The sequence below is a fragment of the Homo sapiens genome, chromosome 17 (genome assembly GCF_000001405.40).
Source record: "Homo sapiens chromosome 17, GRCh38.p14 Primary Assembly".
Taxonomy (NCBI): Eukaryota; Metazoa; Chordata; class Mammalia; order Primates; family Hominidae; genus Homo; species Homo sapiens.
The window spans coordinates 5074912-5096892 of NC_000017.11; the positions used below are offsets into that span (position 1 = coordinate 5074912).

The 21981-nt window shown below is 46.2% G+C and overlaps 1 protein-coding gene and 1 long non-coding RNA gene across 2 annotated transcripts, besides 2 other annotated features; one reads left to right on the top strand and one right to left on the bottom strand.

Moving 5' to 3' along the window:
* Positions 1 to 766: 766 nt before the first annotated feature.
* Positions 767 to 3202, bottom strand: ZFP3-DT (ZFP3 divergent transcript). The gene is made up of 2 exons (NR_186458.1): positions 2976 to 3202; positions 767 to 1029 (listed from the first exon to the last, which is right to left on the bottom strand). It is a non-coding gene; the product is annotated as a ZFP3 divergent transcript (long non-coding RNA).
* Positions 3024 to 3895: an enhancer, noted in NCBI's record as "H3K27ac hESC enhancer chr17:4981230-4982101 (GRCh37/hg19 assembly coordinates)". NCBI's record gives its function as "activates a minimal SCP1, AML or CMV promoter by ChIP-STARR-seq in primed H9 embryonic stem cells {active_cell/tissue: H9 hESC(primed)}" and the evidence as "EXISTENCE:reporter gene assay evidence [ECO:0000049][PMID:30033119]".
* Positions 3263 to 3332: an enhancer, noted in NCBI's record as "active region_11565". NCBI's record gives its function as "activates an Ori minimal core promoter by ATAC-STARR-seq in GM12878 lymphoblastoid cells {active_cell/tissue: GM12878}" and the evidence as "EXISTENCE:reporter gene assay evidence [ECO:0000049][PMID:35858748]".
* ZFP3 (ZFP3 zinc finger protein) lies at positions 3556 to 21463 on the top strand. Its single transcript, NM_153018.3, has 2 exons — positions 3556 to 3664; positions 16586 to 21463. The coding sequence occupies exon 2, from the start codon at positions 16594 to 16596 to the stop codon at positions 18100 to 18102; it is 1509 nt and encodes a 502-aa protein (NP_694563.1). The 5' UTR covers positions 3556 to 3664; positions 16586 to 16593; the 3' UTR covers positions 18103 to 21463.
* The last annotated feature ends 518 nt before the right edge of the window (positions 21464 to 21981 follow it).

A 21981-nucleotide genomic window follows, 5' to 3' on the forward strand; every position in this document is an offset into this window, starting at 1 on the left:
TGGGGAGAGGGTCAGCAGACAAACACGTGAACAAAGGTCTTTGCATCATAGACAATGTAAAGGATTAAGTGCTGTGCTTTTAGATATGCATACACATAAACATCTCAATGCTTTACAAAGCAGTATTGCTGCCCGCAGGTCCCACTCCAGCCCTAAGGCAGTTTTTCCCTATCTCAGTAGATGGAGCATACAATCGGGTTTTATACCGAGACATTCCATTGCCCAGGGACAGGCAGGAGACAGATGCCTTCCTCTTGTCTCAACTGCAAGAGGCATTCCTTCCTCTTATACTAATCCTCCTCAGCACAGACCCTTTACGGGTGTCGGGCTGGGGGATGGTCAGGTCTTTCCCTTCCCACGAGGCCATATTTCAGACTACCACATGGGGAGAAACCTTGGACAATACCTGGCTTTCCTAGGCAGAGGTCCCTGCGGCCTTCCGCAGTTTTTGTGTCCCTGGGTACTTGAGATTAGGGAGTGGTGATGACTCTTAAGGAGCATGCTGCCTTCAGGCATCTGTTTAACAAAGCACATCTTGCACCGCCCTTAATCCATTCAACTCTGAGTTGACACAGCACATGTTTCAGAGAGCACGGGGTTGGGGGTAAGGTTATAGATTAACAGAATCTCAAGGCAGAAGAATTTTTCTTAGTACAGAACAAAATGGAGTCTCCTATGTCTACTTCTTTCTACACAGACACAGTAACAATCTGATCTCTCTTGCTTTTCCCCACAGTCAAGGTTGAGAATCACGATTTAGGCTCTTGAGGCAGACACCCATTAATGCAGGTGTACTAGATAAAGCTCAGTAAAACCAAATATCTTCCACCCTTGGTTCTGCGGCAGGATATTTTTGTAGTCTGGGCGTCTTTCCTTGGGATAAATGTAGCTTGCAATGATTTTGATGGAAATGGACTTTTCTTGGATCACGGCTTGGAGAAAGTTTTGAGCAGAGTGAGGAAGGTTGCAATGGCAACCGTGGAAAATGGTAGACAAGCTGAGTAGGGAAACAGAAAGTGATTTCTGGGCCTGTGGAAAGCAGAGACCATAAGATTACCTTAGGACTCTTAAACAAAATATATTTTTCCCACTCACCATTAGCCGCATGGGCAAGGAAAACAGATTTTTTTTTTTTTGACATAGAATCTCGCTCTGTGGCCCAGGCTGGAGTGCAGTGGCGTGATCTTGGCTCACGGCAACCTCTGCCTCCCAGGTTCAAGCGATTCTCCTGCCTCAGCCTCCCGAGTAGCTGGGATTACGGGTGCGAGCCACCACATCTGACTAATTTTTGTAGTTTTTTTTTTTTTTTTTTGAGATGGAGTCTTACTCTGTCGCCCAGGCGAGAGTGCAGTGGCGTGATCTCAGCTCACTGTAACCTCCGCCTCCCAGGTTCAGGTGATTCTTCTGCCTCAGCCTCTCGAGTAGCTGGGACTACAGGCATGCACCACCATGCCTGGCTAATTTTTGTATTTTTAGTAGAGACAGGGTTTCACCATATTGGCCAGGCTGGTCTCGAACTCCTGACCTTGTGATCCTCCCGCCTTCGCCTCCCAAAGTGCTGGGATTACAGGTGTGAGCCACCGCACCTGGCCCTAATTTTTGTACTTTTAATAGAGATGGGTTTCACCATTTTGGCCAGGCTGGTTTCGAACTCCTGACCTTGTGATCTGTCTGCCTCAGCCTCCCAAAGTACTGGGATCACATGCATGAGCCACCACGCCCGGCCGGAAAATAGATATTCTGATTGAATCAGAGTTAACAAACTTCCCATGCAGTTGCAGACAGTAGGGCAAGGGAGTTAAGGATTTTAGTACCAGAGTGGCTAAAGTGATGGACCCTAGAGTCTAGGGCCTAATGGCAATGATGAATTCAAGAGAAAGTTTTCTTTCTGCTAGATTGTGTGTGGCATACAAACACAATATTCCCTTCTAAGGGTGGTCACTCCTTTCCCTATTTCATAGGATTATGGTGAGGCAAACACAGAAGCCCGCCGTCATCCTTGCGGGAAGGCAGGTGACCAGGCTTGGTAAATCACACGGTCCTTTCCCCCTTGATTGGTCCATGGTTGAGCACCAGACCCAAACAGGGCTAATCATAGTCCTTTGTAACTGATATTTGGGAAGGATAGTGTACTCTGAGGCAACATTATATAGAATGAAAGTCTTCAATGTGGTGATCTTGGAACTGACACCTAAAAACAAACTGGCTGGCTGGACGCGGTAGCTCACGCCTGTAATCCCAGCACTTTGGGAGGCCAAGGTGGGCCTAAGGTCTGACCTAAGGTCAGAAGTTCGAGACCAGCCTGACCAACATGGTGAAACCCCGTCTCTACTAAAAATACAAAAATTAGCCGGGCGTGGTGGCTGGCACTTGTAATCCCAGCTACTCTGGAGGCTGAGGCTGGAGAATCGCTTGAACCCGGGAGGTGGAGGTTGCAGTGAGCAGAGATCGTGCCATTGCACTCCAGCCTTGGCGACAAGAGCGAAACTCCGCCTCAAAAAACAAACAAAAACAAGCTGGAGGCCGGGCGCGGTGGCTCATGTCTGTAATCCCAGCACTTTGGGAGGCCGAGGCGGCCGGATCACCTGAGGTCGGGAGTTCGAGACCAGCCTGACCAAAATGGAGAAAACCCGTCTCTACCTAAAATACAAAATTAGCCGGGCGTGGTGGCACATGCTTGTAATCCCAGTTACTCGGGGAGGCTGAAGTAGGAGAATCGCTTGAATCCGGGAGGCGGAGGTTGCGGTGAGCGGAGATGGCGCCATCGCACTCCAGCCTGGACAACAAGAGCGAAACTCCATCTCAAAAAACAAACAAACAAGAAAACAAGCTGGCTGTGCAAAATTACAGAGGAAGTAACAAGGAAAGGTTCTGAGGTGAGAATGGGCCAAGCTTGCTCAGGGAACCCAGGAAGGCTAGCTGCAGAATGCTGTTTCCGTGGCCTCGGCAGCTTAACCTAGGCCTTTACTCTTAACCTTGGTAATTCCCACGCAATCTTGAGATTTCAGGCCAAACGTCACTCCTGCAAGCCCTTCCGGAACTCAAAGCATGTCTCCCTTCGCTCCCGCCGAGGAGAGACCTGTTCCCAGGATCTGCAGCCCTGTGCTTATCAGACCCACGGAGTCTGTGGAAAGGAAGGATGGGATAAGAACGATGCGGGTTGGGAGAGTTAAAAGGGTCGCGCAAACGGTCCCCGCGGGAATGCGAAGCGGATTCTCGAGTTCTTGAGCCTAGAGCAATGCTTGGGGAGCGACACGAGGGCGCAGAGCGGCAGATCGCGGAGCGGAAGTTCATCCCCGGAGCCGTTCTAGGAAACCCGGAGGACTCAGGTCGTCAATGATTCCGGGGCTGAAGTGGGCATCGACGGGTGCACTTTGCTGTTCCAGGGAGCCGGCTCGGCAGGCGGCGGCGACGTGGAACTTGGGCTAGGGCTAGAACCGGCGAAAAGCAAGCCGGAAAAGGCAAGGGGGCGTCGGTGCGCTGACCACCTGTTCCTCCAGCGGAGTGCGACGCGCGCCGATTGGCTGGAGTGCCGCCCGGGTACCGGAAGTGGCCGATGCCCGTCGCCAGTGACACCGGGACAACAGCTGCGGGCTCTGTGCGAGCGGCCCAGCAGCGCGGAGCCTCAGCGGAGTGAGCGAGCGCGGGGCAGTAGCGGCCTGCGGTGAGACCTCATTCCGTCGCGGCTGTGGGGGTAGGCGGGGGCTGGGCTCCCAGCTCCCTAGAGAGCCGAGCGGAAACCCTACGTTTAGGCCCGTTCTGACCGGGGTTCGCTGTGTGACCTTGAAGTTTATGCCTCCCTCCATTCCCCCCGCCCCCAGGCCTTCATTTCCACCTGCACACAGAGAGGGTGGGGCCTGGACACCGCCAGGGACAGTCCCAGCTCTGGTTTGGTGCCTGTCAGCCGTGGGGGTGGGAGAAGCAGGGACACTCCCTTCTGTACCGAGGTGGGGACCCGTGGGAGCTGTGGTTTTCTCAGACATTCCACCCCCAAGTAAACCGCTAGGACGAAATGGCGGGCAGTGTCACAAACTTAACGCCCTAGTGGCAGATTGTGCCCTGTGCTGCCAGACAAGATATTGGCTTATGAGGGGTGGTCGTGAAAAGGAGACAGGTTTGAGCTGCAAAGATAGAGCCCTATTGTGGGTCAGAGGGAGAAGAGAGGAAAGGAGGTTAACAGTGCCATAAATTAAATATCACCCAGATTGGGAAAAGGAACTTATTTTTACAAACAGTTATCGACACCAGCTATGTGTCAGACACTATCCTAGGCTCTTTAGATATAATGATGAATGAAATATCCAGTTAGCCATCAAGAGTATTACAGAGGCTGGGTGCAGTGGCTCATGCCTGTAATCCCAGCATTTTGGGAGGCCTAGGCGGGAGGATCACTTGAGCACAGGAGTTCAAGACCAGCCTGGGCAACATAGTGAGACACCATCTGTACAAAAAACAAAGAAATTAGTTGGGTAGTTGGGTGTGGTGGCGCATGCTTGTAGTCCCAGCTACTTGGGAGGCTGAGGTGGGAGGATTTTCTTGAGCCTGGGAAGTTGAAGCTGCAGTGAGTCTGGGCAATAGAGCCAAGACCCTGTCTCAGAAAAAAGGGAGGTATTGCAGATTCATTATATATATAAGACAGTTACACAAATTCACTTAACATTTACCAGGTATCTGAAATATGCTAGGTACTCAGAATACCAGGATGAATGGAACAGCATCCTTGCTTATGGTCTAGAGAAGAAAATAGGTATGAAAAATTAATAATGCAGTGGGGTAGCTGCTACAAGGTGAAGGAGTAGCTGTCTGCCTTAGAGCCTGGGGGTCAGGGAAGAAAATGGAGGGGGTCAGCTGGGCGTGATGGCTCATGCCTGTAATCCCAGCACTTTGGGAGGCAAAGGTGGGCGGATCACCTGAGGTCAGGAGCTCGAGACCAGCCTGGCCAACATGGTGAAACCCTGTCTCTACTAGAAATACAAAATTAGCCAGGCGTGGTGGCAGATGCCTGTAATACCAGCTGCTTGGGAGGCTGAGGTGGGAGAATCGCCTGAGCCTGGGAGGCGGAGGTTGCGGTGAGCCAAGATTGCGCCATTGCACTCCAGCCTGGGAGACAGAGCGAGGCTCCATCTCCAAAGAAAAAAAAAAAAATAGGTATCGTGGTTTCAGGACTGATTAATCCAGTGGCCCTGGCAGCATCTCCCTTGTTTTTCTGAGCTTTAGCTGCCCTCATCCACAGGCTGGTAGTGAGATGGCAGCAGCAGGTACAGGCAATAATATATGGAAGTATTTTCCTATGGTTCTCTCAGGATGGCAGGAAACTATTCCCAGAAGCTCCCAGCAAACGTCCTCAAAATATTGACCCAGATGAAGGTGGATGTCCATTTCCAAACCAGGAATTCCCGAATCCTTGCTGTTTCTGAACCAGTGCCTTGCAAGAATTAGGGCATTTATTTGACTGGGTTAACTCAGTTGGAGTGTCCTGCTGGAGCTCTTGGATGAGGTTAGATCTCTGGCAAGGAAAGCAAAGCCACTGCAAATATTTTTGCTCACATACCCCGTAAAATAATTTTGGAAGGTTTGTGTCTCTTTATACATTTGCAAGTTGACATCCAAAACATTTCCATTTCTCATCATAAATTTTAATGAGTTTCAAAGGATATTATTTTTGAGGTATTAAAATTTCGACATTTCAAAATAAAACCTCATCCCAGTTTCCCAGATACCTTCCCTTGGTTACCTTCCCTTGGAGCACAAAGAAGGTGCTCATCACATCCTTCACCCTCTCTGTAACCTCCATCTCTTAGCACCCCACTCCTCCCAGCCCCCCTTCATTTCCATCCGTATCTCACTTAGTCATCTCAGCTCTGTCCTGACTAACCTCCCTAGGCCTCGCCTCCTCAGTCTTCCACCACACATCTCCCTGGATTCTCAGGCTGCCAAAACTGCCACTGAAAGAAGTCAGGAGAGCATGGTGATTGGCCCCTCTTCACTCTGATGCTCTCCAGCTTGCTTGTTTCATGAGGTGGTGGTAAGGGTTAATGTCTGTAAGTTGCTTAGCACATGGTGAGAGCTTATCATTAGCCTCCACATCAAAATGTCAGTGCTGCCTGGCTCATCTCCCCTCCATATTTATCCCACCCCGTGCATGCTACATTGAAATCCCAATGTTTTTTCTGTTTCTGTTCTTTTTTTTTTTTTTTCTTTTTTGAGATGGAGTCTCACTCTGCACTGGAGTGCAGTGGCACAATTTTGGCTCACTGCAAGCTCGGCCTGCCCCGGGCTTCACACCATTCTCCTGCCTCAGCCTCCCGAGTAGCTGGGACTACAGGTGCCTTCCACCACACCTGGCTAATTTTTGTATTTTTACTAGAGGTGGGGTTTCACCGTGTTAGCCGTGATGTCTGTTTCTTTTCTTACTCCTCCTGTACTTCCTGGCCTCTTGCTTGCCCACTTTCTGTCCGGAATGCTATAGTGCAGTGGTCTTCAGATGGAAATATGTGGAGGGGGTACACAGACACTTTCTGTAACATCTTTGGGCACATAGATTGTTGAATGGAAATCAACTTCTAGATCCTTGACTTTATTTTGTATCCTTGCCTATGAGTGATCTGCTTAAGAATGGGCCTGTGGCCTGTAGGTTTCTCTTCTCTCACATTTTTTCACAATTGTTCTTTTCTTCATTTTATTTTATTTTATTTTATTTTATTTTTTGAGACGGAGTCTCGCTCTATCACCCAGGCTGGAGTGCAGTGGTGCGATCTTGGCTCACTGCAAGCTCTGCCTCCCGGGTTCACGCCATTCTCCTGCCTCAGCCTCCCGAGTAGCTGGGACTACAGGTGCCTGCCACCACGCCCGGCTAATTTTTTGTGTTTTTAGTAGAGGCGGGGTTTCACCGTAATAGGCAGGATGGTCTCGATCTCCTGACCTCGTGATCCACCCGCCTCAGCCTCCCAAAGTGTTGGGATTACAGGCGTGAGCCACCACGCCTGGCCCTTTTCTTCTTTTATAAAAGAAAGACACCGGCCAGGCATGGTGGCTCACGCCTGTAATCCTAGCACTTTTGGAGGCCGAGGTGGGTGGATCATTTGAGGTCAGGAGTTTGAGACCAGCCTGGCCAACATGGTGAAACCCCGCCTCTACTAAAAATACAAAAAACAGGCTGGGCACGGTGCCTCACGCCTGTAATCCCAGCACTTTGGGAGGCCGAGGCGGGTGGATCATGAGGTCAGGAGATCGAGACCATCCTGGCTAACAGGGTGGAACCCTGTCTCTACTAAAAATATAAAAAATTAGCCGGGCCTGGTGGTGGGCGTGTGTAATCCCAGCTACTAGGGAGGCTGAGGCAGGAGAATCGCTTGAAACCAGGAGGCAGAGGTTGCAGTGAGCCAAGATCACGCCACTGCACTCCAGCCTGGGCGACAGAGTGAGACTCCGTCTCAAAAAAATAATAAGTAAAATAAAATAAATAAAGACACCACTCACGCATCTCCTTAAGGTTACCATGGTGCATCCCTCTGCAGTGGAAAATCCTCTAGCGTGCCATACAGAGACAATTTGTTGAAGAAGTGAGTTTTTTGGACGTTTTGTAATACAAGTCCCAATCTTTGCTCCCAACAAAATTTTACTTAATTTTTTGAGACAGGGTCTCTTATTCTGTCACCCAGGCTGGAGTGCAGTGGTGTGATCATAGCTCACTGCATCCTTCACCTGCCAGCCTCAGGTGATCCTCCCACCTCAGCTGCCCAGGTAGCTTGGGATTATAGGCATTCACCACCGTGGCTGGCTAATTTTTTTGTAATTTTTCTAGAGACAGGTTTCGCCCTGTTGGCCAGGCTGGTCTCAAACTCCTGGGCTTAAGTGATGTACCCACCTTAGCCTCTCAAAGTGCCGGGATTATAGGCGTGCCCAGTCCCAACAGAATTTTTAAAAGATGTAATCAGGTTGTCAGTCAGCTGCCAGATTATGCCGTAATGTTTTACTACAAATCACTGTGTGGCTTTTTGGCAGATAAGTTCAAAAAGTTGTGATATTGCTACAAGAGATTGCTGTAAATGCAGGTTGATGCAGTTTGGGCAAAATCAGGTCCAGTTACAGTAACTAGAGTCAGTTTGTTAAGCATAAGAGAAAGGTGGTTTTTAACTCAGAAGAGGTATGCAGTCAGTTGTATTATATCTGTCTGCTGTCAGGTTTAGGGGAGGGGAGGGGCAATCTAGATTGAGAAGAGGAAAAAAGTCAGAGCAGGAACTGGCAATGTACCCATAATTCTGCTGCTCGACACCTGTGTTGATCTGCCTGTAGGCCAGGTTTTGGGTAAAGATGGATACACCACATTAAGAGTAGGATAACTCCAGTCATTAAGACTTTGTAGGCCGGGCGCAGTGGCTCATGCTTGTAATCCCAGCACTTTGGGACGCCGAGGTGGATGGATCACCTGAGGTCAGGAGTTGGAGACCAGCCTAACCAACACGGAGAAACCCCATCTCTACTAAAAATACAAAATTAGCCAGGCACGGTGGTGCAAGCCTGTAATCCCAGCTACTTGGGAGGCTGAGGCAGGAGAATTGCTTGAACCCGGAAGGTGGAGCCAGGATTGCACCACTGCACTCCAGCTGGGGAACAAGAGTGAAACTCTATCTCAAAAAAAAAAAAAAAGACTTTGTAACAGTGGTTTTCAAACCTGGCTGGGCATCAGAATCACCTAGGGTACTTGTTTAAAATATAGATCTCTTGGTCCCACTAGAGATTCTGATTCTGAGAGATCTGAGATGGGACCTGGACATTAGTATTTTTAACAGATTTCTCAGTGGATTCTCACGCAGCTAGCCTAGTTCCAGGCCAGGAACCATTGTTTAAGAGACATTCATCTAACAAGATCTTCCTGCCATGATTTCAGGGCTCCTAAGCAATTTTCAGGGTTTTATGTGGCTTTCCATGCAGATTTTCTTTTCTTTTCTTTTCTTTTCTTTTCTTTTTTTTGAGATGGAGTCTGGCTCTGTCGCCCAGGCTGGAGTGCAATGGTGCGATCTCAGCTCACTGCAACCTCCACCTCCCAGGTTCAACTGATTCTCCTGCCTCAGCCTCCCGAGTAGCTGGGATTATAAGCACCCACCATCATGCCCAGCCAATTTTTGTATTTTTGTAGAGATGAGGTTTCACCATGTTGGCCAGGCTGGTCTTGAACTCCTGACCTCAGGTGATCTGCCTGCCTCGGCCTCCCAAAGTGCTGGGATTACAGGCATGAGCTACTGTGCCTGGCTCATGTAGATTTTCATCTAGGTAATATGGTCCTTTATAAATTTTATTTCTTGTTGTTAATTAATAGATATCTGGTTTATACATCAGTACGTTGTGAATGAGGCTTTTTTTTTTTTTTTTTTTTTTTTTTGAGACGGAGTCTCGCTCTGTCGCCCAGGCTGGAGTGCAGTGGCGGGATCTCGGCTCACTGCAAGCTCCGCCTCTCGGGTTCACGCCATTCTCCTGCCTCAGCCTCCCAAGTAGCTGGGACTACAGGCGCCCGCCACTACGCCCGGCTAATTTTTTGTATTTTTAGTAGAGACGGGGTTTCACCGTGTTAGCCAGGATGGTCTCGATCTCCTGACCTCGTGATCCGCCCGCCTCGGCCTCCCAAAGTGCTGGGATTACAGGCGTGAGCCACCGCGCCCGGCCTGAATGAGGCTTTTTGAGCTTGCTTTCCTTGGGTGCATTGAAAAGACAAATTTAGGTCTGCCAAGTTGAGGGTCCTATTCTGAGCTGTGGAAACCCAATAGAGGTCTGCCTGTCATGCCCAAACTGAGGACCAGTGGTCAACCTCTACTCTTCCAGTAGCACCTCCATCTTATCTCTCTTCAGAAACATTTAATTTCAGATTTAGGAAAGTGAGGAAGTGAGAAACGGAAAGATAGAAAATTGTATTTGGGAATTTGAATTTAGGCTATGAGAAGTGGTGTTTCCATATGAGTCTGAGGCCTAATATATGGCTGTGCCTCTGGAAGAATCAACCAAATGGAGATTGGCTTTGATTTGTATTTGAGAAGATACCCATAGAGCAGTATTTGACAAATGACATACTGTGTTGCTGGCAGAATGCAAAGTAAAAGAATGATCAGAGTGGGTAAGATTTAGTGGGGGAAGGCTTTCTGTGTTTTTTTTGAGATGGAATCTTACTCTGTTGCACAGGCTGGAGTGCAGTGGAGTGATCTTGGCTCACTACAACTTGTGCCTCCTGGGCTCAAGCGATTCTCCTGCCTCAGCCTCCCCAGTAACTGGGACTACAGGTGCACACCACCATGCCTGGCTAATTTTTTGTGTGTTTTTTTTAGTAGAGACAGGGTTTCACCATGTTGTCCAGGCTGGTCTCGAACTCCTGACCTCAGGTGGTTCTGCCTGCCTCAGCCTCTCAAAGTGCTGGGATTACAGGCATGAGCCACCGTGCCTGGCCAGGGGAGACTTTCTGAATTTGAGTTTTGTTTTTTTTTTTTGAGACGGAGCCTTGCTCTGTCGCCCAGGCTGGAGTGCAGTGGCGCAATCTTGGTTCACTGCAAGCCCCGCCTCCTGGGTTCACGCCACTCGCCTGCATCAGCCTCCTGAGTAGCTGGGACTACAAGCGCCCGCCACCACGCCCAGCTAATTTTTTGTATTTTTAGTAGAGATGGAGTTTCACTGTGTTAGCCAGGATGGTCTTGATCTCCTGACCTCGTGATCTGCCCACCTCGGCCTTCCAAAGTGCTGGGATTATAGGTGTGAGCCACCACACCCGGCCCTGAATTTGAGTTTTAAACTAGGTCCTGGTTACTTGACTGGGGATAAATACATACCTAACTTCTGTCGTATCTTGTTTTGCTAAGAAAAAGTGATTTTCCATTTATCGTGGTACACGTGTCAGCTCTACGAATGCTGATTTTGTAAAGAACTAGATGATGGAAAATAAGCAAGTATAGGAGGCATGAGGATGAAAAGGAAAGGCCAGAGAGGGGGTTGGAAGCAGATGGAGACTGAAATGGCAGCTTGTGGAACTTGCTCTTGGGTAGGGATGAGAGAGAAATGTATTTAAGACAGTACTTCCCAACTCAGATGGTACCATGGAGGAAGAAGATAGCTAAATTCTCGACAATGGATTCTTACAATTGTATAGATACACATTACCTATAATTTTCAAAGATTTCAACAAAAAGGAGAAGTACAGTTTTTAGGTGCCCTCTCTTACTTCATGGGAAAATGAGAGAAGATGCTGAGATGGGGAAGGTCAAAGAAAGTTCCACCTCATTTTCAGGTGTAGCACAAAGAGCTTCTAAGACTTCAGGATTCCAGTAGGAGATCAGGTTCCTTCCAGGTGTCTGGGGAGGGGGGCATTACCAGGCTGCCCTGATGAGTGACTAGAGGTGCCCGAGCCGGATGGTGTTAGTAACCAACATCCTGTGGATAACGGGAGGCTGGGCAGAGAGAAGGGGAGTCCAAAGTCGCCCCCAAATCTCCACCTTTCCCCTTCCCTTACCACATGACTCCAGCCTCCTCTGCTGCTCAGGGTCTTTGTTTCTTCAGTAATCTCATCCTTTCTTCACTCTTAACCCCTGTCTCTCTGCTGGACCTATTCCTTCTAATATAAACATGTTCATATCTCTTCCATCAGAGGAAAGCCTTGCTCTATAGCACTGTCCGTCTTGGTCTTCTCCTTTCATCCACTTTTTTTTTTTTTTTTAAAGAAGCAGCAAATTCATTATTCAGTCCACTACCAGCTGGCTTTTGCTACTGTCATTCCCCTGAATCTGTGCTCACAGTTCATATGTGACTATCTATTGTCTCAGTACACATTTTCTTTCTTTTTTTTTTTTTTTTTTTTTGAGACGGAGTCTCGCTCTGTCACCCAGGCTGGAGTGCAGAGGTGTGATCTTGGCTCACTGCAAGCTCCGCCTCCCGGGTTCAGGCCATTCTCCTGCCTCAGCTTCCCGAGTAGCTGGGACTACAGGCGCCCGCCACCACGCCTGGCTCCTTTTTTTGTACTTTTAGTAGAGACGGAGTTTCACCGTGTTAGCCAAGATGGTCTCGATCTCCTGACCTCATGATCTGCCTGCCTTGGCCTCCCAAAGTGCTGGGATAACAGGCGTGAGCCACTGTGCCCAGCCTCAGTAGACATTTTCTAATTCTTATCCTAGCGAATCTCAACTGCATTTGATTTTTTTTTTTTTTTTTTTTTGAGACAGAGTCTCACTCTGTTGCCCAGGCTGGAGTACAGTGGCTCAATCATAGGTTACCGCAGCCTCTACCTCACAGGCTCAAGTGATCCTCCCACCTCAGCTTCCCGAGTAGCTGGAACTACAGGCACATGCCACTATGCCTGGCTAAATTTTTAATTTGTAGAGATGGGGTCTTGCTATGTTTCCCAGGCTGGTCTCAAACTCCTGGGCTCAAGTGATCCTCCCACCTACTCCTCCCAAAGTGCTGGCATTAAAGGCGTGAGCCACCGTTCCTAGCCTTCACTCGATATTTTTAAATTCCCTCTGCCAATGCCTAAGTGACTTCTGTGACACATTATTCTGGTTTTTCAGTTTCCCTACCATTCTTTATCTTCTTGGCTCATTCTCTTCCTCTACTCACCCCTTTATGAACGGAGTCTGAACAGGAAACAGCTCACTCAAATTAGGATAATTTGAGGAGGGTTTATTTGCAGCGAGGTTAATTATAAATGATCTAGGTGTGGGCAGGTCATTGAAGAACCCAGGGCTGGCAATAATAGTCACTAGCCCTGGGCCTGAAGAGAGAGGAGGGAGTAGAGGTTACTGGAACCCAGACAGTGAGACTACTGAGTAGGATAGAGTTGAGAGGAGTAGGGACCTCAGTTGAGGGACAACACCAACCCAAGGCGACCTCACAGGAAGGAACCCTGACCCCTTTCTCCTGCCCTGCCCTTTCGTCCCTGCTTCCAGACCCCTGCTGGGGCTCCTCATTGGTGGACCACAGCTGGAAGCCAGAGGCTCTGTTGATGTGTTCCATACAGGTTAGGTTTCTGGGGCAAAGAGGGACAGGGAGAAAGGTGGAAAGAAGATCTAGAGGGAAAATGGAAGATAACTGGAGCACTCGTGACTGTTTCTTTGACTCCTAGGCTTCTGTTCGCAGCCTCTGATGGTTCTCATGCTACACTCAGGCTGAGTACTTTCAAGTCTGTATCTCTAGTCCTGACTACTTTGAGCTTTAGACCAATATATTTTGACTGATTCTTTGATACCTCTCTGTGGATACCTTGAAACTCATTTTGTCCAAAACAGAGCTCACTGATCATCTTTTATTGCTATATTAGCTCCTCTCCCAGTATTCAGAATATTGTGGCACCACCGTCCATCTAATTACCATCCCTCAAATTGAGTGAGATCTGGGCACCATCTTTGAGTCCTCCCTCCTTACACCTATCTCCAGTCACACACCAAGTCTTGCAGAATTTGACCTCTTCCGTATTTCCCCAGCCTGTCTCTTCCTCCCCACTGCTACTAGTGCTCTAGTGAGATCACATCACCTTTTGCCTTGATGACTGCAGCAGCCTCCCAGCTGATCTTCCTATGTGCAGGCCTACTGCTTTCTTTTTTTTTTTTTTTTTTTAGTAGAGATGGGGTTTCACCGTGTGAGCCAGGATGGTCTCAGTCTCCTGATCTCGTGATCCTCCCGCCTTGGCCTCCCAAAGTGCTGGGACTACAGGCGCCCGCCACCATGCCCGGCTAATTTTTTGTATTTTTAGTAGAGACGGGGTTTCACCGTGTTAGCCAAGATGGTCTCGATCTTCTGACCTCGTGATCCACCATCCTCGGCCTCCCAAAGTGCTGGAATTACAGGCGTGAGCCACCACGCCCGGCCAGGCCCACTGCTTTCTACTTCAGCCACTAAACGACCACGAGTGTGCATCTGCGTGGAATGCTAATCTGACTAGGGACCATGTCATTCCTTGGTTTAAAAAACCATCCCATAGTTCTGCAATGTCTAAAGGATGAAGTTCCATACATTCCCATGCCCCCTTGAGAATCACCTTCCACAGTGAACACTTTCACTGACGGGAGGATTGTATTCCTCAGATTTGCCGTAGTGCACAAATAGACTGCCCTAAGCAAAGGCCACTTTAATATTAGTTCCAGATTGCTTACCATCTGAACAAAGGTCAGGCTTATTCTCCTGGCATTTGGACCCCTTGTCTGTGGTGGGGACAGCCAAATCCCCAGGACAGTTTTATTAGGAATAGGTTTGGCCTCGTATAATAATAAAAAACCCCCAATATCTTAAGCAAGGCAAAAGCTTATTTCTCTCTTAGATAAATGAAGTCCAGAGGCTGGCATTCCAGGATTGGTATGGCAGTACCATGGAGTCATCAGGGTCCCAGGTTCCTTCCAGCTGTGATCCCCAGTCCTAGGCTATGCCAGTATACTCATGGTCCAGGATGGTGTCCAGCTATCACATCATGCTCTGGGAACAGCATGGAAGACAAGATGGAAGAAATGTATCTCCTCATCCTTTAGGAGATTTCCTAGTAGTCCCATGTGGTTTCATTTGCATCTCACTGTCTCATTGGCTAGAATATGATCATGTGGCCAATCCCAACTGCAAAAATTAAAAAGCTGGGGAATGTATTTTTTTAGCTAGGCTAATTGCCACACTATATAAATTTATTATTCTGTTATAAGGCAATGGGGAATAATATTGGGGTAGGCAACTAAACATTTTTGCCACAACTAAAAATCTTTGTAAAAGTTTTAAAAAGGTACTCTCCTCCCACCCACCCCTGCCCAAGAAACAAGGTGTCTTGCTCTATTACCCAGGCTGGAGTACAGTGGCACAATCACGGCTCATTGCAGCCTTGACCCCCTGGGCTCAAGTGACCCTCCTACCTCAGCCTCCCCAGTAGCTGAGACTACAGACACATGCCACTGCCCCTGGCCAATTTTTAAAAAATTTTAGTTGAGACAAGATCTCCCTATGTTACCTAGGCTGGTCTTGAACTCCTGAGCTCAAGCCATCTTCCCACCTCTGCCTCCCAAAGTACTGGAATTACAGGTGTGAGCCACCACACCCTGCCAAAAATGCACTCTTTAAGTAATCTATGAAGGTATTAAGAAAATACTATAAGAGAGCTGATTACAAAATTAATATGTAATGATCAACAGCATTGCTATATATATAAGTAATAGCCAGTTACAAAATGTAAGAAAATCTCACTAAATGAAAAGAGGTACAGAGACATGATGAACATAAAAACAACATCAGCATAAGTTTGGACTACAAATTTATACTAAAGTTTACTTGGGAAGATATGAGAATAGACAGGAAAGGTCTGAAAAAGAAAACTGAGATAACTTTCTCTAGCATATATTAAAAATGTTAATAAAGCTAACAGGTTGAACTGTTTGATATTAGAGAAGACAAGGATCAGTGGAACTGAATAGAATCCAGAAGTTGGCCCAAATATAGATGGATATTTAGACTATGGCATAGGTGGCATTTTAAATCAGTAGGGGAAAGAATTATTCAGTAAATGGTATTGACACAATTCAGTAGCCCTTTGGAGAAGTTTAAAGCCAGTGGCTCCAAATGTCAGGGAGCCAAAGGCGGTACTTCTGTGCTAGTTATAGCTAAGACACATTAATCTTTTGAAGAGGTAAGCCCTCTATGTCCCCTCTCCTGCTCTATAGAGCTGATGAGTACCAGAGAACAGGACTAAGAATAGTCCTCTTGTTACTCATTTTGCAGTTACTTCCCCTGTACACCCAAAAGTTATTTATATTAACTTGTCCTTTTTTTTTCTTTTTTGAGACAGGGTCTGACTCTGTCACCCAGCCTGGAGTGCAGTGGTGCAGTCTCCACTTATTGCAACCTCCGCCTCCCTGGTTCAAGCAATTGTCCTGCCTCAGCCCCCCAAGAAGCTGGGACTACAGGTGTACGCCACCATGCCCAGCTAGTTTTTGTATTTTTAGTAGACAGGGTTTCGCCATGTTGCCCAGGTTGGTCTTGAACTCCTGAGCTCAAATGATCCGCCCGCCTCGGCCTCCCAAAGTGCTGGGATTACAGATGTGAACCACCATGTCATTTCTGTCCCTTCTTTCAATATTTATCGTATACCTATCTATTAATATGGCCACCATTTTCCCTAGATGTTTTCTTTAATCACCTTCAGGTTCTAACCCAACTCACCGTTAATATTATGGATTTTTTTTTTATCAGCATCTCTTTACCATCCATTTCCTACTTCTCTCTTGAAATCTTTTCTCACTCCTGTCAGCATCCACTGTTTAGCATGTCCACCATAATCCTAAATCTGGATCTTCTCTTTGGCAGCATCTTGTCATTTCGCCAGATATCAAGACTGTTTCTGTTTTGTTTTTTTGTTTTGAGAGGGTCTCGCCCTGTCACCCAGGCTGAAGTGCAGTGGCGCATTTCAGCTCACTGCAGCCTTGACCTCCCCAGGCTCAAGCAATCCTCCTGCCTCAGCTGCCCTCCTCCCCTGACCAAGACTGTTTCTGAGTGCTATGAGAACTACATCAAAGCTCTGTTGTCCTCTAGTGTTAGCTTCATTTAAATATGATACGGTCCCTTCACATACTTACCTCTCTCATTTCAGATTGTGAGATGGGGACTGAGAACAAGGAGGTGATTCCCAAGGAAGAAATTTCTGAAGAATCTGAGCCACATGGGTCATTATTAGAAAAATTTCCAAAAGTGGTTTACCAAGGTCATGAGTTTGGAGCAGGATGTGAAGAAGACATGTTGGAGGGACATTCGAGAGAGTCCATGGAAGAGGTTATAGAGCAGATGTCTCCTCAGGAGAGAGACTTTCCATCAGGGTTGATGATCTTTAAGAAATCACCCTCAAGTGAGAAAGACCGGGAGAATAATGAGAGTGAGAGAGGCTGCAGTCCCAGCCCAAATCTGGTTACACATCAGGGAGATACAACAGAGGGAGTTAGTGCATTTGCTACCTCTGGCCAAAACTTCCTAGAGATTTTAGAATCTAACAAAACACAGAGAAGTTCTGTGGGAGAAAAGCCTCATACATGTAAAGAATGTGGGAAAGCCTTTAATCAGAACTCACATCTCATCCAGCATATGAGAGTTCATAGTGGAGAAAAACCCTTTGAATGTAAAGAATGTGGAAAGACATTTGGAACTAATTCAAGCCTTCGACGGCACCTGAGAATTCATGCTGGAGAAAAACCCTTTGCTTGTAATGAATGTGGAAAGGCCTTCATTCAGAGTTCACACCTTATTCACCATCATAGAATTCATACTGGAGAGAGACCCTATAAATGTGAAGAATGTGGTAAAGCCTTCAGTCAAAATTCAGCCCTTATTCTACACCAGAGAATCCATACTGGAGAGAAACCATATGAATGTAATGAATGTGGGAAGACCTTTAGGGTTAGTTCACAGCTTATTCAGCATCAGAGAATTCATACTGAAGAAAGATACCATGAATGCAATGAGTGTGGCAAAGCCTTCAAGCATAGCTCAGGCCTTATTAGACACCAGAAAATTCATACTGGAGAAAAACCATATCTGTGTAATGAATGTGGGAAGGGCTTCGGGCAGAGTTCTGAGCTTATCCGGCATCAGAGAATTCATACAGGGGACAAACCCTATGAATGTAATGAATGTGGGAAAACTTTTGGCCAGAACTCAGAGATTATTAGACATATTAGAATTCATACTGGTGAGAAGCCCTATGTATGTAAGGAATGTGGGAAGGCCTTCAGGGGGAACTCAGAACTTCTTAGACATGAGAGAATTCACACTGGAGAGAAACCCTATGAATGCTTTGAGTGTGGAAAGGCTTTCAGGCGGACCTCTCACCTTATTGTCCACCAGAGAATTCATACTGGAGAGAAACCCCATCAATGTAATGAGTGTGCAAGAACCTTTTGGGATAATTCTGAGCTGCTTCTCCACCAGAAAATTCATATTGGAGAGAAACCTTATGAATGTAGCGAGTGTGAGAAAACATTTAGCCAGCATTCCCAACTTATCATACATCAGAGAATTCACACTGGAGAGAAGCCTTATGAGTGCCAAGAATGTCAGAAGACTTTTAGTCGGAGCTCTCACCTCCTCCGACATCAAAGTGTTCACTGTATGGAGTAATCTGCAAAATAGGAAAGCTTTTAGTGGAAAAGCTAAAGTCCAACTTATTCATTTGTTCATAATATGCAAATATGCACCCCAAGTATTCAAATCCAATGAATGGACAGAACCTCCTCTGTCCTCCCACTGATTTTAAATAGTTGGTTGAAGAAGATGAGGCACTTTTTTTTTTTTTTTTTTAAGCATTGGGGTCTTGCTCTGTTGCCCAGGATGGGATGCAGTGGCACAGTCGTAACTCACTGCTTCCTTGAACTCCTGGGCTCAAACAGTCCTCCTGCCTCAGCCTTCCAAATAGCTAGGACTGCAGGCACTAATGAGGCACTTTTATGAATTATTCATTGAGAGGTTTCAGTGTGCTAAGTTAAATCATAAAAGCTCTTTCAGGCCTTAATTTCCCCTCTGTCCTTCCTTCCCCTTCTCCTCCCCCAGTGGATCACATAACAAACATTAAGGGTCTGTACCAGCCATCTTTCCTAAATTACTCTTCAGCAAAATTGTGGGAACAGGATTCCACCACCTCCTAAGAATGAGAGTTGACTCATTGACTGTTACCCCCTGAAATATTAGAAAGTCATAATTTAGAAGACACACCTCATTCTCCTGTCCACTGTTTAGCATTGGAATAATTTAGTAAGCTGTTATTAGCTTCAAAGTCGTCCAGCCCTGCTATGAAGTTACTTTAGAAGATGGCAGCATTAATGAAGAAGCAGGCTCATTTCACATCTGTCAGGCTTCCTTATTCATCTGAAGAGGCTGCCATGATGGAGGAACTGACAGGCAATTTACAACGGGATTATAAGTGAAGGCCTTAGAATCCAGAGGGGCCGATTAGGCAACACCAGGGGATAAACAATTGAGGTCACACTGCTCGGCATGGGCAGAAGCAGCTCTTCAGGAGCTGTCCACACTTCAGGGGTGCTCAGACTGACTGCTCCTAAGAATTCTGCTGCATATATTTTTAGCCCCATCTCCTGCCACTGCTGACAGATATTGTGACAGTAAGTAGCAGACAGGACTGTGGCTTCACCTCCTCCGGGCACCTGGCTACAGTGATGAGTCAGTTCACCTGATGACAAACCAGGGTCTGGCCTTGCCAAAGCACTTAAGTTCTCATGACCTGGACCGCACTGGAGGCCCTGGCTAAGTCAGGATGTCGTAGCCTCTTCTTGGTTTTGCCCCTTGGCCTTGAAATTCTTTTTTCTTGAATAACTTTAAAAAAATAGAGATAAAGTCTTGCTATGTTGCCCAGGCTGGTCTTGAATGCCTGGGCTCCAGCAATCTTTTTGCCTCAACTTCCCAAAGTATTGAGATTACAGGTGTGAGCTACCATGCCCGGCCTTGAAATTCTTTCTTCGCTATGTCTGCATGTTTTTTGTGTTCTGTATTTATTTCTTCTCCAAGGAAACAGCCTACATTTTCCATGTGTCCATGTTTCTGAGGCCGTGGGTGACAGTGGGAATTGCACTAATGGGGGCCCAACAGGCCTGGGGGCTGGTCTTAGCGCTAGACCTTGAACAAGGCACTTCACCTGCTGGTCTCCAATTTTCTCCTCTGTAAAATGAAAGAGTTGAACTAAGTGATCTCAAAAGTTTCAACCAGCCCGATAATTCCTTAATTCTTTAAAAATTTAACTTTATATATCTTTATTATTCTTTAACCTCATCTTTGTTACACTAATATTAGTCACTAATATTTATTGAGTGTTTACTACCTGACAGGCAGAGTGCCAGTTTACATTTTAATTTTCACATCATTTCTATGATGTGGGTACTCATTTTTTTAAAGCTTTATGAAGGTATAATTTACGTACTATAAAATTCACCTGTTTTAAGTGTTCAGTTGAATGATTTTTAATTTACATAGTGGTGCAACCATCAATGATGTGGGTATTCTTACCCCAATTTAAAAGATAAGAAGGGGCAGTGTTAAGTAATTGACCCATGATTCCACAGCTAGTAAGAGCGACAGCCAAGACTCCAAACCTGGTTGATGCTCTTAACCACTGTGCTATGCCGCAGGTAGGCAGATTCATTACTGCCTTATCTGAAACCCTTTGCACAGTTTCTATTACTGATTTCTATGTAGATTTGAATATAACAAATTTAAATCATGTCCTTGGTAACAGAACTGATCACAGCCAAAAAAAATTCACCAAATGGGTTTATTCTGTACTCCAATATAGGTGTCTTCCCAGGTTTATATCCTTGGCTTGAGAAAAGGGTTGTACAAATAGATGATTGCAGAGTTTCCACATCCTTCCAGATACCTCTGCCTCTAGCAGTCACACTCTTAGTAAGGGAAGTTGTTTGATTTACTTCTTCCCTTAGGTTGATTACAAGTGAAGTGCGCCGTCTTATTCCTTTTTCATTGCTGGAGCACAAATTGAATTGTGCCCAGACCGTATCTTTCTCACATGAAACCTGGATCTCACCTATCCCTTCCATGCCTGATTCCCGTGTTTGCATATTTTATTTCCACATTTACCTCTTGTCAGCCCTGACAGAGAATTTGGCACCCCTTCAAGCTTCTCCTAAACAATCTATGCACACAAACACCCCTGAGCAATATGGACTTCACTGAAGATAGTGTGTAAGCAAAGGAGAAGAGTTCACATTGTGCATCCTATTAGACATTTTGTTCTCAGAAGTACCTTACTGGCCAAACCAATGAAGGTTTTCCTCTTGTCCTCCCCTCTCAAGGCTCAGTCACCTCAACTTCTTTTTGCCTACTAGATATCCAATCCATCACCTCGCCTCCCCTGGCCCTAGCTCAATTACCCTCTTAAACCCATTCCTGCTCAGCAAAACTTCCTCTAGTTCACCATTCATTCATTTGAACATTAGGAGGCAATTTAGTGACCTGTTGTACCTGACCATGTTCTTAAGGGGGAGGTCTCACGTCTCATTCCCAGAAAAGTCTACCATATATAGATACATATTCCCCGCCCCGCCCCAGATTTCTGGTGAATGAAATCACTTGTATCTTATTAGGTACATATACGCAAATCCTTAACCTCAATTCTCTGTCCTCTTCATGTCTTACCCAGATATCTCAGGAAGATTTCTCTTTTCCTTCTGTTTGCCTCCCTCTTCGACTTACTTGGGAGTCAGCATCTGACCACAGTCGTGACTGGTAATGATGATTTGTGCAAATACTATCAAGGAAAGGACATGAATTGTCTTAATTTTAGACCCATTAAAAAACCGCACAGGCCTCAATCTTAAAAGTCCTATCTAAATACCCAGAAATACCCTTCAGAATTTTTGAAGCTATGCCCATGTACAAAATTTTCTTCCTTCCCTAATTTTAATGGTATACTAACACCTTAGGTAAATAAAATATTTCTTTACTATTTTATTGATACAATGCCTTTGTCATGTTTATTCCAAATTGCATTATGTTTCACTATGGATTTAATAAGGACTTTGTTTACCAGTTTCATCCCCACCTTGTAAGTTTCACCTTACCTAAATACCCCCACATGCTTGTTAGCTTCTGGTTTTGCATACAGTGTACATTCTGTGTCCTTGATCTGCTTTGCTTGGTGAGATCCTTCATCTTAAATAACAGGACAAGTGTTATCTATTGTGCGTGTGTTGGTATACACGTTTTTCTTCATGATTAGCAACTTAAAATATTCCGGACCATTTGTATGGCCTTTAACAAAAAATCACCTTATTACTGAAATTTCAGGGTGGCGGCGGGTGCTGCTGATTGTTTACCATTAAATTTTTACAAGTGTTCTGACTCCTGGCGGATGCCAGGTTCTTAATGCTGTTAAGTCATGAATCTTCTTTGAGAACCAGGAAAGCTCTGCCCGGAAAAATGTACATGCAGTTTCAGATAATTTATGGACTTCCTGAAACTCATCCTCTGAAC

Bases quoted from the DNA above. Each gene is read 5' to 3' on its own strand.
- ZFP3 (NM_153018.3), top strand. From the start codon at position 16,594: ATGGGGACTGAGAACAAGGAGGTGATTCCCAAGGAAGAAATTTCTGAA.